The 16832-nt window shown below is 39.2% G+C and overlaps 1 annotated feature.

The window, feature by feature from the left end:
• Positions 5933–6227: a silencer, noted in NCBI's record as "tiled region #12950; K562 Repressive DNase matched - State 8:EnhW". NCBI's record gives its function as "represses a minimal TATA promoter and a strong SV40 promoter by Sharpr-MPRA in K562 cells {active_cell/tissue: K562}" and the evidence as "EXISTENCE:reporter gene assay evidence [ECO:0000049][PMID:27701403]".

Genomic DNA, 16832 nt, shown 5'->3' with positions numbered 1-16832 from the left:
CAATTTAATTATTAATATTAATATTAAAATGTAGAACCACAACGTGTTATAATAGCAAATGTTGGCTGAGAAAATAGGCAATGATAAAAGCTTTTATAAATTAAATAACACTTTAAAATATATTTTATTAATAGCCTCTATATAAACAACCTATATTTGAAACAGCAATGTTGCATATATATGAATATATGTGGATATATCTGTGTGTGTTTACATAGCATTGTTCACTCAGTCCTCACATGAATCGTAACGAGTGCATGAATTTGTGTTCCTTGAGGCCTCCAGGGTATGTGTAGTCCTCAGTTTGTGAACCACTGGCTTCGTGAACCTTTATGTTTACTCTGTATATCAGTCATATAAATTAGTGCAGATTCTTTTCCTGAAAAAAATTCCATTGAATACAAAAAAATTAGGCTCTAGTTGTTGAAGAATCAAATACACTTAAATATAGTTAAAAATAATGAACAGAACTCGGATGGTATCTCCTTTAGGCTAGCATGGTTCACTCTGTGATACCAGGGATCTCATGGATCTCTTGGAAATAAGTGAAGGAGGAACCAAGTGCAATGTTTTTGGATTGCAGTTGTGTAGTGGGCAGAATGGTTAAAAGTACACAGTAACCCTGCGAGGAAGGTGGTATTCTTGTCCTCTTTTACAGATTAAAAAAACTAAGGCTCAGCGAGATTCAGTAATTTGCAAAAAGTCTTATAATAGAGCTAAGATTCAAATCCAAGATTGGTAGATGCCCAAGCTCTCTCCTTCTATGCTATAGTCCTGACAACGATGGCTGTCATTTTAAGATATCCTCCAGATTTTGCAGGGTTTCTGTTGTTGTTATTGTTATATTTTTATTTTGTCAGACTCCCAGAACACAGTGCATCCATGTAATAGAGGTAGAGATACCAGGACACAGCACATCAGTGTAATAGAAACAGACAGAGACACCAGAAAAATAAACATGGCTATTCATCATGGCAGCCAGCAGCAGAGGCCTGTGGGTTTTCCATGAAATTCTTTACAGGCCAGAGAGAAAAAAATCTAGGTTATTCAAATCAGTTACTCAGGCATTGCTGGTCAGTAAAGATTAGGCCCATTGGGTGTGCTTAAATGCCTGTGGCGAGTAAGGTGAAGCAAGATTGGAACTGCTGCCAAGGTGGCCGGGGGTGGAACTGACAGTGGTGAGGAAGAGGCCATTCTGAGTAGCTGGTTATCTTTCAGAGGATATGGGATAGATAAGGCCCTATCAAGATCAAAGAATGCATGTGGCGGGGGGGGGTTTATAAAGGAAGAGAAGGGAAACAGGCTCATTGAGAAACCAGGAAAGGAAGGAGGCTGACAGATGATATTCATCAAGTCCCTGTGGAGTGAGGGAGATGTGTGTAGGGTGTAATGTGGGAGTGAGGTGAGGAACATGACCCTTACTGATAAAGTCCGTTCCTCGTCTTTTGCAGTTGCTTTAAGCTCTGAAATGGCACTTGGGGGATCTGGGCTTGTCTTAGATCAGTACTTTCTAAGATATTTATCTCTTATTGCTGACACATGGCCCTTGGTTGTTCCCTCTTTTCTATAGTTCCCCTCCCTGAATCTTGTTTTAGGGGTTTCTTTCTTTATGGTTCCCAGGCCTACTCTCCTATTGTCTTATTTTATTAAATGTTATTCCTGTGAGGGAGGTCCATTAAGCTCCTTTCCTTTGTCTCAAGTCCCCTCTGCTGAGTTCCTGAGGACCGTGTAAAAGAACAACAGTACATGAAGATGGACAATTACTTATTGAGCATCTACAATGTGTAAGGCACTGAGAAAACCATGATAAATAAAATATACTTTTTCCTTTAAGGAGGTAACATCCCCTGATGAAGTTGACACTTTAGAGGGGAAAACAGAATTACAAACTAATATATACAATACAGTGTAAGAATATAATATTTGAAATATATGCCATGCAGAATATGATCCAGTTTTTCTCAAGGATCCCCCCTCTACCCTATGCCAGGGGAATCTACTATGTTTGAGGGAAATTCCATCTGCCCAAGAGGTCAGAGTTTATGGCTGGATGTGGTGGCTCACGCCTGTAATCCCAGCACTTTGGGAGGCTAAGGTAGGAGGATTGCTTGAGCCCAGGAGTTGGAGTTGGAGACTAGCCTGGGCAACAAGGGAAACCCCCTGTGTACAAAACAAAACAAAACAAAAAAAGCCGAATGTAGTGGTGTGCACCTGTGGAGGTTTTTGGAAGGCTAGGTGGGAGGATCACTTGAGCCCAGGAGTACTAGGCTGCAGTGAGCTATGATCATGCCACTTGCACTCCAGCCTGGGTGACAGAGTGAGACTCTGTCTCAAAAAATAAAAATAAAAAAGTCAGTTTCATTTACCTGGCAGCAGGTCAGTGTAACAGCAGAGGAATGACAAAGTAGAATGGAGAGAATGAGTGAAGAACTGTGAGCTGACACTTTCCCCTCTATGAACAGAGGACTGTGTGGGCCCAGAGCTGGCTGCTGAGCCTATTCAGCCAAGCTCCTTAGCTTTATGGAAGTACAGAACAAATGAAAGTTACCACAGGTGATATCATACCTACCCATAATAAAGAGAAAATGTCTTGATACCATCTCTTCCTTTCTGTTAAAGAAAAAAACTAGTCAATGATACTTGTTAAAACACAGGAAGGGAGACTTTATTCAGGACCATCTTAATAGGTATAGAGATCACTGCAATCAGATTCTGCAGTGGGGGAGAGAGATTGGGCTCAACTCAGAATACGGCATGGGCAAGTGGGAATTTATATGGAAGAAGCACGGTGGGGGTCATTAGATAAAAAAAATTACTAAGAGGAAACTTCAGGGGCAAGGGAGGATTCTGGCTAAACTGACCTAACAGGATTCTTACTGAAGACAGGCCAGGGTAAGCAGACATCACCTGGGGGATGGTGGAGGAGGAGGAACCCAGCCAGATACAGAGGGTGCTCGGATATCAAGGGTGGAAGTGCTTGCTAAACTGACTCAGCAGGATTCTTTGTTAAAACTGGACTTTATAAGAAAGTACACAGATGAGCCTAGGAGAAGTTTCAGGAGCTTGCCCAAAATTTGGTCAAGTAAATAATCTTTGTCCTCTCCTTACTTAGATTAAAATCGGATGGGTTAGCCTCAAAATTTTTGTGAAGAAGATTTAAAAAGAGACTGGCTGAAAACTGGTCTAGAAGCTAGTTATGAGATTATTTTGAAGCAATGTTGATTCCTGGAGCCTGGGCCCTGAATGCTGAGGGAAGCATCTGAGAAGAATGGACAATGATCTAGGGATGAGATCTAGGGAACAGAAGAGATGTTCGCCACAGGGTACATTGACAAGAAGTGTTGCTGGGAACTCTGTGACCGCCTCCACCCTAGGAACAGCTGACATGGGGAAAGGTTGATTTTGCAAACAGGAAGAACCAAAACTTGGCACTAGCTTTTGGAACCACAGGTTAACTGATGCCAATAGACATAAATGAGAATGCCTCAGAATTTAAACAATTTCTAAGTAATAGGAAGAATCAGCCTACTGTTGGAATGACATCTGTCTAAATGTCATCTATTAAAGAATCTCCATTTATTTCAAAGTTAAGAAATAACACAAAAAGGAGATGTTACAATATTGTGTAAATATCAAGTTAGAGAAGGATTTCCACAAAACGTAAGCGGGAACATCAATGGCAAATAAATAGTTTTTGAGAAAACTCAGGGTTTTCTTTTTCTTTAATCTTTTCTTTTTCTGGGATAAATACTTCAAGTGGAAATGGGATTTTCTGAAATGGGCACTTGCAAAAGTCTCCAGAAACCCCCAAGGAAGAGGGTTGACTCATCCAGAATACTGGGAGATGGAAAAGGGCCACAGAAAGCTGTTGGCTCCCTTGTTTGTGGACAAGAGAATTGCTTCTGGGCTGTTTTAGTCAGAGGCACTACATAAAAAATGAGCCAGGAAAGACACAACCAGCTAGGAGCCAGGCACTGTTTCTATGCTTGTTTTACATCCAAAAAGAACTAGAAGAAATTGCAATTTAAAATTTTGGTGGAATTTCTGGAATTATGAACAATGTCATTTCTGTAAATAAATATTTATGGAGTGTGTATCTTTGCCCACCCTGTCTTTGGCACCGTGAAGGTACACCAAAGACTCTAACTGTGATTCTTGCTTGTATTTCTCAACCACAGCTGGGATGTGATTTGTGCATAGGATTAAATATGTTGAGATTCTTTGATAAATCAAAAAATATTCCCTATAAGACACTGTGATCTTAAAATTATTCACAGATAATTGATCAACATTTTTGAGAATCCAGAGCTTGCTTGGTAGCAAATGAAACATATCTAAGACCCTCAAACTCCATCTCTAATAGGTTATGTATTTTTGTTTCTCAAATAGCAACTAGAATTTGGGGGTGGAATGGGGTAGGACGTTAGCTAGAAGACACGTATTAGGGAGAAAAGCCATTTCCAAATTGAGATCTTTGTTTACTGAATATCTGGCTTTTAGTAAGAGTATTTAATCCAAAGTGAAATTGGTAGATTTCACAGATGTATTTATCCCTCTATAATTAAAAGATCAGTCCTGTAGAGTTCTTTTCTTGAAAGATTATTCTATAATGTGAATAAACCATTCTCAGAATTGACAGCTTCTCTCTTCTGAAACCTTTCCTCTCTTCCTCAGCTGATTGAAAGGGCTGCTCATGGTCTTTTTCAGCTGCTTATAAGGAATATAAAGCAAACCAGTACAGCAGAAAGAGATGAATAAAGATTCCTTTGTTCCCGATCACGTGCCTGAAGAGAGAACACCATTGCCCTTGAGGCGCTCTCTTGAGTGGGTTCAGGATCTTCCCTCTTCCTGCAGCACTCTGCGATTCTCTCCCAGGGCTGCAAGAAAAAGCAGCACTGTTCCCTTCGGGTTGAGCCCGGCCATCGCCATCAGTGCTGCCACTGCCACCACCTCCATTCCCCGCAACCCAGACAACAGAGTGAACCTGCTAACAGCACAGAGTGTGTTTATTTATTCTCTCTGCATAGTGGAAACTTGTTTCAAAGAAAGTAACAGGGATTGCCTGATGTTAGAAGATTCAAAACACTGAAATACACTTGTAAAACGATTTGGCTGTCTTCAATGAATGTAAATAGTATGTATTTGGGGGAGTTGCAAAGGAGCCGATCAGCATATTTGTCAGAGAGGGAAGGAGGCAGAGGAAAATATTTATCTCTCTTTGTGAGCTGTCACACGACTATAGTTTGCCCATCACATCTGAATATCTGTTCAAATGATGTGATATTTTTATTTTGATTTCCTGAACTGATAAAATGTCCTGGAAAAAATAGGGCAGCTGATCTTTGGAATGTTTTTTCTCTCATAATCCTAAATTTTTGATTTCTGTGATTTCTCACTCTTCCCTTTTCTTAGAAATCCTCATGCTCTAGCTTTCTGGGGGGACAATTCTTATGGTTTTTTGTTATGTTGATGCTTTATCATCATTTATACCTCTGGCCCTTACTACAGAACCTTGCACACACTAGATGCACAATAAATATTTCCTGAAAAAGTGAATGAATGGAAAAATGAAAATGAAAATGAAAAATAAATGGAAAAATGAAAAGCATTGAGCTGTTTTGTGAAAATCTGATGAGTAAGCCTTTCTTCTTAGGAATTCTAGCCTTGGTTCCAGGCTCAACTGTTAGACTTCTCTGAAAAGAGTATACCCAAGTCTGCTTTCCCTTGGGTATACTGAGCTGGACCCCTGGAATAAAAACTTTGAGGAAACATCTAGTACAATAGTCACTGGTGCTAAGATTAGGGGCAAGACATCAAGAGTAAATTTGGTCTTACTCTTTCTCTGGAAAATTTTTAGGTATTTAGCTACCTACCTGAGATTTATTAGGCTGTTAATATTTCTTTGAGTATAAAGAAAAAAATAAGGGTGAAACATTGATGATCTAGTTTAATTTACTGAGAAATGTGCTTTTCTTCTTGTGAAAGTCCTAAATCTGTCCACTTGTATCAGTGGGACTGGGCATGTGGGTGGTGATAGTGGAACACTGTGTGAGCCACTGATATTGTGTGTGTGCTGGAATGAGGCATGCTTTCCACCTTACTCCTCCTTCTAGCAGCAATGAATATGGAGGGCAGCAATGTCATTTTCTCCTCGAAGGTCACAACCAAGAGAGAGGTGTCTCTTCTTATGTTTGTTTTCTAGGGCTGTAATAACAAAGTACCACAAACTGGATGGCTTAAACAAGGCATCTGTTTTCTCACGGTCCTGGAGGCTAGAAGTTTGAGATCAAAGTGTCAGTAGGATTGGTTTCTTCTGAGGCCTTTCTCTTTGGCTTGTAGATGGCTGTCTTCTCTGTGTGTCCCTATATGATCTTCCTTCTGTACATGTCTGTGTCCAAATTTCTTCCACTTATAAGGACAGCAGTCATATTGGGTTGGACCTGCCCTTGGGACTTTATTTAACTTTAGTTACCTCACTGAAGGCCTTATCTCCAAATACAGGCACATTCTACTGTACTTGGGATTAGGACTTCAGCCTGTGAATTTTGGGGGGGACACAATTTAGCCCATAACAAGACCCTACTGGCCAGAACTTTGTTCTGTCATTGGATTTTACATCTGGAGGAGAATGAAACTATAAAACATAGAGAATAGATAACTACTGATTATAGATTAGAGCCACCAGATAGAGTTGGAGATAGTGAAATGAAAAGCTGACTATAAGGTAATAATGTAGCTCGGTATAGTTAATTAAAACAAAACAGCCAGACGTGGTGTCTCACGCCTGTAATCCCAACACTTTGGGAAGCCGAGGTATGTGGATCACCTGAGGTCAGTAGTTCGAGACCAGCCTGGCCAACATGGTGAAACGCTGTCTCTACTAAAAATACAAAAAAATTAGCCAGGCGTGGTGGCGCGCCTGTAATCCCAGCTACTCAGGAGGCTGAGGCAGGAGAATCGCTTGAACCTGGGAGGCGGAGGTTGCAGTGAGCCGAGATCGCGCCACTGCACTCCAGCCTGAGTGACAAAAGCCAGACTCCATCTCAAAACAAACAAACAAACAAACAAACAAACAACAAAACAAAACAAAACAATACCACCACATTTCCCTGCATTGGAGTGAAAAAGTAATTCCTAACATATTGGGAGAACAAGGACATTTTCTACTCAAACAATAAATTAGGTTTCCATATTATATTACTTAAAGATGGATAATTCAAAGGCTGAAGAAAATGACAAAGGTGTAGGAAAACAAATTATGGAGAAAAATCAAGAAGAATCAAAATTGTTTAGCTCAATGAGAGCTGAGAGGTGAAAGAGGAAGACTTGGAAAGGTCTGAGGATGGTAGTGTTATACTATGGGTTATTGGATATAGTGAACAGAGAGGGTGTTCATTTTCACTGATGTCAAAAAACTTCTTTCAAGAAATTATAAAAGGAATAAGCACTCATATAAATGAGGGTTTTGGTTGACGAAGAGCTTGAAGGGCTTATCTTCAGGATGTCCTCGGAGAGAGACAATAATGCTGAATTTTGAGAGTCTTACCTTCAAACACATTACAGATAAGAGGTTTGAGTGTAAAATCAAGAATAGGAAATCATTGGCTATTAGGCAAGAAAAGATGCTGTGATCTTCTGGTCTAACTTTCTTCTTTTATAGGGACCCACAGGGGTTTGGATTCCAACCCAAGGTCACTCAGCTAGTATGCAGAATTGCTGCGGCAAGTCTCATTTTTGTTCTTTTACTAACTTGTTAAATGGGCTTAGGCAAGTTATTTAAACGCATAATATTAAATATAGATAGGGTAATGCATGAACTGCAGGAAGGTGTAATGAGAATGTAATGATTTAAAATATTGATTCCTATGTAATTGAAAATCTACATGAGTCCCATGTGGCTCAAAAATCTTAGCATTTTAAAGAGGTAATTAAACTGAAAATGTGAACATGTGGCACTTTATTTAATGTCCTTTTTGTAGAATCAGAACCTGAGGGGGAAAATCTGTGATTAAATGCTCTGCAGGCCCCCAGAGCACCCCATCCATGTAATTGTGCTTTTATTGCAGTAAAGCATAAACTTTTTTTTTTTTTGCAGTAAAGAATGCTTTTATTGCTTTCTTATCCAGTAAGAAAGCAAAAACCATAGGGCTATTTATTGTAAAAGGGCCTCCTATTGTTTCCTACCCCTTCTTCTTCATACGTAGCTTGATTTTGCCTTTGTGAGAAAGTTTTATAATAAGAAAAATTTTGGGCTGGGCGCAGTGGCTCACGCCTCTAATCCCAGCACTTTGGGAGGCGAAGGTGGGTGGATCATAAGGTCAGGAGTTTGAGACCAGCCTGACCAGCATGGTGAAACCCCATCTCTACTAAAAATACAAAAATTAGTCAGGTGTGGTGGCGGGCACCTGTAATCCCAGCTACTTGGGAGGCTGAGGCAGGAGAATCGCTTGAACCCGGGAGGCAGAGGTTGCAGTGAGCTGAGATTGCACCACTGGACTCTATCCTGGGCAACAAGATCAAGACTCCAACTCAGAAAAATAAAAACTATTTTGTTATTTCATGCAGAAGGGCCAGTATTTAAACTATAGAAAGGAAACTTTTTTGCCATAGAATTTTCTCTATTTTAGTAATTCGTTCTTGTTTTCTTTCTCTTCTTCCTCAAATCTTATTGTTGTTGAACAACAGAATTATGTTCTGTAACTTGCTGTATCTTAAAAATAGGGAAAGCTACATTATTGGTACATAAATGGAAAATATACAATAATATCTTTATCCAATTAAGTTTTTGAACCATAATTTTAAAAAGTAAGCTTATTAACTTAGATGTAAGAGAAATTTTTGAAAGGCACATACTGAAATTGATTTGCTGAGCTTTGATAATGGTTCAAACTTTTTTTTTTTTTTTACCTTAGACATAATGGAATAAATCAAACTAAATCTTTAAAAATAGTACCCCAATTTTAGCAGAGCACAGTCTTTTTAGCACATCAATTCATATATAATTTGTTTTTATATTTCTCTTGGCATTTGGGAGAGTTTCTTTTCATTTTTACTCTTTTTTAAAAGTGGTTGGATTCTGAAGATTGTATCCCTTTTGGTTTCCTTCAATCACTTTGTCACATCTCCTTAGCAACTTATAATTACCTACTGAGGAAGATAGTGCTTCAGTTTCCTAGTGAGAAAGTTGAGTATCTGAAAATTTGAGCTTAGTGTTAATCAACGCTATTGCTTTTTGAATTTAAGGGGTAAGTATAAGGTTAAGTGAAAAAGTTTACTTTTTCCATCCTTTCTTCTTGTGTGTATAATGTGTTTTCAAAGGTAGTCCTAAGGCAGGAGATTTGAGCTGACTAGGGATCTTATTATCATGAAGAACTGACAGGTGGCCTAGGAGAGCGCAGGAAGAGGAAGGTGACTGAAACCTGAGCACCAGAACGGTGAAGGTAAGACTCAAACAACGAGCTCCCTCAGCTTCTTGGGGATTATCCTTTAAGGCAAAGAATTCAACCTGAGGTTAGAGATTAGAGGAACCCAGACCGCATTCTAGGATGCTAGTTTATTGTCTTTGAGAGTAACTCTTCAAGTTGTGGCAATCTGAGACATTCTTCCAGTTTTTTCTGCATGAGAAAGATAAGAATAAAGAGGGCAAGGACATTATTTTGTAAGCCAAATAAGGATTTTAATTCTGATGGGGAGAGGAGCCTCTTTCACCTTAGGAATGTTCATTAGTTCATTTTTATTCATTCATACACACATAATGCTATGTGGCAGGCATTATTTGAGATGCTAGAAAACTTAGCAGAACAAAACTTCAGCCCTTGTGAAACTTGTATTCTAATAAGGGAGGCAGAAAATAAGCATATATCATACAGCAAGAAGGGTTACAGACAAAAATAAAGTGGGTCCAGGACTGGAAGAGTGGTAGTGAGCAGGGGGCAGGAATTATTGTAGAGCTCAGGGAAGACCCCTAGGATAAGAGGACCTGAAAGAAGGGTGGGAATGAGTCACAGACACCTGGGGAAGAGGATCTCAACATGTGAGAAGAGGTCCATGCCTAGTGTGTGCAAGGAGGAACATGGAAGCCAGTTTTGCTGAATCCTAATGACTGGGGGTGGTGGTGGTGTGGAAGATGATAAAAGAAAGATGGGTTGTAGGGCAGTCAATGAAGGATCTTGTAGATTCTTATAGGAAATTCTGCTGATTCTTATAGGAAATTCTGCTTTGACTAAGTGAGACGGAAAGCCCTGATCATAAGAGTGAAATACTGATGTTTAAAAGGGCCATCTGATGACTGAGTGGGAGAATAACTCTAGCAGGGCTAAGGTAGAAGCAGGGGCCCCCATTGGGAGACAATTACAATAATCCAGGCAAGAGGAGATGGCAGCTTGGATCAGGGTGGTTAACAGTGGAGATGTGAGAAGTGGTGGGAATCTGACCCCTCTGATGGTGGATTCAAAAAGATATGCTGACAGATTGGAGGTCTAGTGTGAGAGAAAGAGAGAAGGCAAGGATGATCGTAACTTTAAAGTGTGGAACTGTCCATCACTGAGATGGGGAAATCATTGGAGGAGCAGGTTTGGTTCAGTTTTAGGAAACAAGTCTGACATGATAATCAGATACCTAAGTGGAGACGTTGACCAAGCAGGTAGATGAGTCTGGGCATCAGGGGAAGTTTAATTTGGGAGTTTTCAGTATGTAGGTGATATTTAAAGGTAAGGCAACAGTGGTGAGAGGAACGATAGGGTATTTGGTAATAACAAGGAAGTAGCAGCTTGGCACAAGATCAAAAATAGCCATGGATTAAGACTTTTGGCAGCAGATGGAGGAGAGCAAAGTCAATAGCAGCTAATGAAAAATGTTTATGACTATCAAGGAGACTGGGGGACCTTGCAAAGGGAAGGCAAGCAGGCCAATTTCAGGGGAGTAGGGGATCAGTGACACAACTTAACGGAGGCTCAGATCCTGCTGCAAGCATGATTTTTACCCAAAACACATGACTGTTTTGCTAGGTAGGTGTGGCCTAGTAAGGTAACAGGTACACCTTCACAATATTGAATTACAAAGGTACTTGGATTTTGAATAATTAGCTTTAAGTCTTCTATTTCTGATTGTAAGTTCTTTAAGAGAAGATTCAATGTTAAAATTCATTTTTATATTTTGCATGGAGCTTAGAACAGAAGGCTTTGTATTTCATAGGTGTTCAACAGATATTTCTTGAATGAATTGATGAAAACAATACTAAAAGCTTCAGATATCTCCCAAAGGTGCCTCAACAGGAGTAGTTCCCATGAGGATTAGCCATGCTGGGGTCTCTTGGACAAAAGGCTGGTACTGATTGAAAAATTCCCTGAGTATGTCTAGAAGTGTCAGGCTCCTCTGGAATCAGTTACAGTGGGATTGGCTGCTTAGGTATAATCTTTATAAGATTAAAAATTATAGATTATTTGGCAGCTTGTTTGAAAGTGTTGGTCCCAAGAAAAAGTTCTGCTGTGTGTTATGGCAGAATTATTAAAAAAAATACATTCTTAAGTTGAGGTTTCTAAGTAGGCTTTTGTAAAAACAGGCAATTACTTGCTGGAGGCAGTTAATTGCATGCACAGATGGGTACTTGTGTTACAAATTCCTCATTTGCACTTGTGATTACCCATTTGCAATAATTCATGAAACCTAGGGAATTCTTAGGTACAAGGAAAGGTTTTAGGCATTTAAAAAACGTATCACTACCATCAGAGGAGATGGAGAAAACAAAGAGCTAAGTATAAAGCCTTATTCCAAATGCTAAGTTCAGAGAATATTTTCTGAAGCTCGCGGTTGTTGAGGGTAAGAGGTTTACTAAGCTATTGTTTCCATGGACTCTCTCAGCTTTAAAAAAAAGAAAGAGAAAGAAAGAAAACAGTATTTCATCATTTCTCATTTCATTTTATTTTTCATATAACTTTCTGCTAATGGTGGTCTCTGTCAAAATGTTTCTAGTTTGATCATAAGTCTGGTTAGCAGAGTTTTTTTTCTGAAAAAATGCACTCAAAATTCTTTGACATTACATAAAATCATACATCTGAGTGAAAAGTGGATAAAAATCCCCAGTCTTCCAAGGTTGTGGTAAAATGTCAAGGAGTCTTGTTTTTAGAAGCTGTTATCATGACAGCCCAGTGCTGTGATAAATGAACAGTGAATATAAACAAAAAAATGAAAGAAATTCCCCTTCCCATCAAAATATGAGCACTGACTTGAAGAAATATTTCTTCTTAAAATATTTACTTTTTATAGAAGTAATTTTTAATAATTGAAGAGCCTGAAATAAATGCTTTGTGAGGAAAACTGTCCTATACCAAGATGGTTATGTGCTATGTCAGCCTTTAGTACTGAAAAGGGAATGAACCTGTCAAACTTTCTATCCTATGGAAGCTACAAACAACTTTTACTCTAATTCCCTCAGTGTATTGCTCATGATTTGTTATTTTATTTTGGCAGTTGGATCGAATGTCCAAAACATTTTGGGGAAAGAAGGCAGGGAATAACCTATCTCACGGAAGCAATTTAGTTGGGGGGACAATAGTTTGAAAGCCTACAGACCCTGAATTTCCTTTTGGCTTTAGAGAACTGCTTAGGGATGTGGGATAGAGGAGCTAGGGTCTTCAGCCTGAGAGATCTAGCATAATCCTTGATTTGGGGAATTCCCAGTGAAGATCAGGTCAGTTCTTGGAGTCTGTTATGGTCGTCTATTCTTGTGTACATTACCCCTGCACCAAGAAGATCCAAACTTACGAAGCATTGTATCAGTCAAGATAAACTAAGCAGTGCTGCAGTAACAAACTATCCCCAGATCTCAGCAGCCTAAAGCAACATAGGCTTAATTCTCTTGTGCTATCTGTTCATGATGTGTCCATACCTGGGAGCTAGACTCACTCTGGGACCCAGACAGATAGAGCATTATCCATCGTTAATACTGAGCAGTTGGTCATGCCTTTAATCCCAGTGTTTGGGAGGCTGAGATGGGAGGATTGCATGAGCTCAGGAATTAGACACTAGCCTGGGCAACACAGCAAGATTTCATCTCTACAAAAAATAAAAAAAATTAGCCAGACTTGGTGGCACATGCCTGTGATCCCAACTACTCGAGAGGCTGAGGCAGGAGGATCACTTGAGCCCAGGAGGTTGAGGCTGCAGTGAGCTCTGATTGCATCACTGCACTCCAGCTTGGGTAACAGAGCAAGACCCTGTCTCAAACAAACAAACAAACAAACAAAAGCTTACTTCTGGTCACTGTGCTGGAGGAAGGAGAGAGCTCTTAAAAGTCTTGAATTATCAAGTAAATAAGAAGGAGTTTATTTCCCTTTGGCTCACAAGTCACTGGCTGTAACTAGTCATGTGGTTCCACACAACCATAAGGGGGCCAGAAAAGGCAATCCTGTCCTGTGCCTGGAAATAGGGAGAACCAGAAATATTTGGCAGACAGCACTAACAACTATCACTATTGGTTTCAGATGGAAATGAACCCCACAGGATGTTCTTTCATTGATTCCAGGAGCCACAGACTCATGGCTTGATGTAGCCAAACTGGTGTCCATGAACTGTCTGCTTTTTAGGTGATTTTTCTTTCACCACATGATTTCCTAGAAGGAGGATTGTACTATGGTACTGAATGCTACACGGTGCACATTTAAAAAATTTAACTTCCATGATGGGTAGTAGATTTTAAATAACTTTAGTGCCACCTCTTACGAATTTCTGTAACATTTGAAAAGAAATCTAATTGTGTTATTTGTGGTTGTACATAAGATTATCAGAATTCTAAAGTCCCCCCTTAAAGCATTCAAAATTATTTAAACACTGGAGTATTTGGGCTATTTCTCTTTGGTGGGAAACCTCATTTTATATTTTATCCTAGTTGTGAGGCATGGGACCATTTTGTTTTGGCAAATGTCGATAGATCAAGAATTGTATTAAATCTAAAGACTCAGCATAGAATTGAATTGTTCAATTTGTTGGCCAAACCAGCTCACAAAGTAGAAAAATTAAGGCAAAAATAGACAGTAGAAAAAGGACACCTAGATAAGTATTTATTCTTTATGGTTTCTCGATTTTTAAAAGCTGCATTCTAGCTTTGGTGACAGTGTTTCTTCAACAAGGTAGATAGACAATGGTATAAAAAAGATTTGAGCTGATGCCAATATCGATCTCTGGTTTCTTCTCATAGTGGACCTAGTGATAACACCAACTGGTATGGCTAAGGTAACAGTTTCTATTGTAGTCCAATATGGTTCATTTCTTTTTATTACTGTGGTCAACTGTAAGTTATCTCCTTGTTGCTTTATGATCTTTATTGCTAAGTGTTAGTCTTTGCTTAAGTATTGCTTAAAGTGCATTTTGAATACTGGGCTTTCATTCATTAATTTTTTATGGTAGGCTTTGCTCCCTCCCAATGTGAATTGCCAATTCTGACTGTGGGTGTGTAACGCTGCAGATCTCTATGTTCCCAACCTGAACTCGATATTTCACCTCTTCCCCAGTAGCGGCTTGCTCTTGGAATTTATATCATATGTTCTGGGGGATTAATGTTCTTTCCAGTGCCTGTGGTAATAGGTGGTATTTAGATGCTCTTTTCCTGAGAAGATTTACTTCCGACTTGGAATGGATGTTGAAATCTGTTTATTTGCATAGAGCCACGATAGTTTCTTGTTTGGTACTATGGGGAACCATTAATATCCCGTGGCAACAGTGATTCCAGATGAAACTGTTTAATTGCTTATTGACCATTATAGTTTGTGTTACAAAAGCATTTTCAAATATATTATTCATTTTTATCACTGCCTCTGCTACTTAATAGCTATACTACATTGAAAGAATTATCAGGATTTCTCATTTCCAAAATCTATAAAATCATTCAGCCTCTCAAATTTAAAACAAAGCCTATACACTTTGCATGTGCTGAAAAGTAACGCACATGGCACTATGCATGAATGAATGCTTAATAAATGCATATTTTTGATGGTGAAGGTGATCATATTGGAGAAAACCATCATGCATGAACCAGTTTTCCACTTTGTATAGTGGTCTGCATTAATGAGCTTATGTACTGCAGGAAATTGAAGCTATCTGTGATCCCAGAGAAAAGCCACAGAATTATGGAAGGTGAGAATTGGAAAGGACAGAGATTTTTTTCAAACATATAAAAATATGAAACCCTTTCTCTGTGGAAATCCAGTATGTAAACAGATAAGAACTGACCTGTTGTGGCTAAAGTATGTGGTGGGAGTGGGGTCCTAGAGACCCAAGTATCCTTCCCTAAATTTGTACCCTAAATACACGGTGTACAATTTGAAAACCACTGATGCTCAGTCAGCTTTTGTAGATAGAAAACCTTAGCCTAAGGAAGGTATGTGACTTCCCCAGGGCCAAGACAGACCCGATATCATACCCAGGTCTTCTCAGCTGCCTAATTTTGTCCTTTTCCACTATACTATGTGGTCTCTTAGCAATCAGAGAGTGTTTTGTGTAAACAAGAAGAAAATGAACATTTTGTGTTATTATTATTGCAACTCAAAGAAAAATGTGAAAACAAAATCTTTTAGGATCATTAAATAAATACACATTTTTTTGTCCTGGGAAGTTATCTCAGTCATGAAAAAGAAGTAAGCTGGCTTCAGCAAAGTCCCCGTAAAAGCAAGGAGAGGGGAAGCGTTCTGTGCAATCAGCCTCAACCTTTTTGCTCACCCTGAAGTCCTGCTTACGTTGTTCTTCTGATTGCGTGTGACCCAGTGTGAAACTGGAATGGGAATTTGTCAGAACAAGTCGGTGGAGCTTTCCTGCTCAGAAAGAGCTTATCTCAGTTCTTGGGGGAAAGGAAAAAAAAGAAAATGAAAAATATAAAGCAAAACAACCAACACCCCCACTGTCACCATATCCAAAACATGAAACCCGAGGCTGTTAATGCATTTTAACAACTCCTCGTCTGGAGAAAATTACATGTATTCCGATTTACACACAAATCAATAGTTGTCTGCTGTGATTGAACTATGCACTAGAGAACTGTACTGTAATTACATTCATGCCAGGCATCAAGGACAAATCCCCTGGGTTTTGAGTAGGTGTGAGACAGGAAAAAATTACCAGCCCAGCCACAGAAGATTAAAAAAAAAAAAAAGTACCCACAAAGCTTTTCTTTCAGAACGGTGGGTTTAATTACATAGTCTTCATCTAACAAATAACAGTTCTCAAACCCTTGCTAAAATCATTGCATTTAAAATACATGTGTTTGCAGGGAGAGCAGGAAGGTTGAGGCTGATTGCACAGAACGCTCCCCCACTCCTCGCTTTTACAGGGACTTTGCTGAAGCCAGCTTGCTTCTGTTTCATGACTGAGATAACTTCCCAGTACAAAATCTTTATAAAACAGTTTTGTTCGTATCTCCGTGGATTCTCAGTTGTTTTACCTCTTCCTAATGGGAGTAGATTTTTCTCCTGTTTCTTAAAATAAACGATTTTAAAAGATTTTAATTTTATTTTTTTTTCTTCCATTGTGACATTTTGAAGTAGAACAGTACAGCTTGTGATTCTGAAATTGCAAATCACACCCCTGCCCTGAAGTGTTAAATTTCACATTGCAGTTTTCTGGAGAAGTTTTGGAACCACTGACTGAGGGTTGGACCAGGAATTTTTTCTTTACTATGTCATATAATACAAAAACTGCTCTGCTTACTCCAACACCCGGCCTACTATGTGCCAGGTGCCATGATTGATTCTCTGAATACATAGATTAATAAGATATAGTCTAGTTTTTGAGAGGCTCTTGGTCTACTAAGGGATTTGGGCAATAATTAACCATATTAATTATTA

This window comes from Homo sapiens, chromosome 12, assembly GCF_000001405.40.
Source record: "Homo sapiens chromosome 12, GRCh38.p14 Primary Assembly".
Lineage (NCBI taxonomy): Eukaryota > Metazoa > Chordata > Mammalia > Primates > Hominidae > Homo > Homo sapiens.
This window is presented reverse-complemented; position numbering and strand designations above follow the sequence as displayed.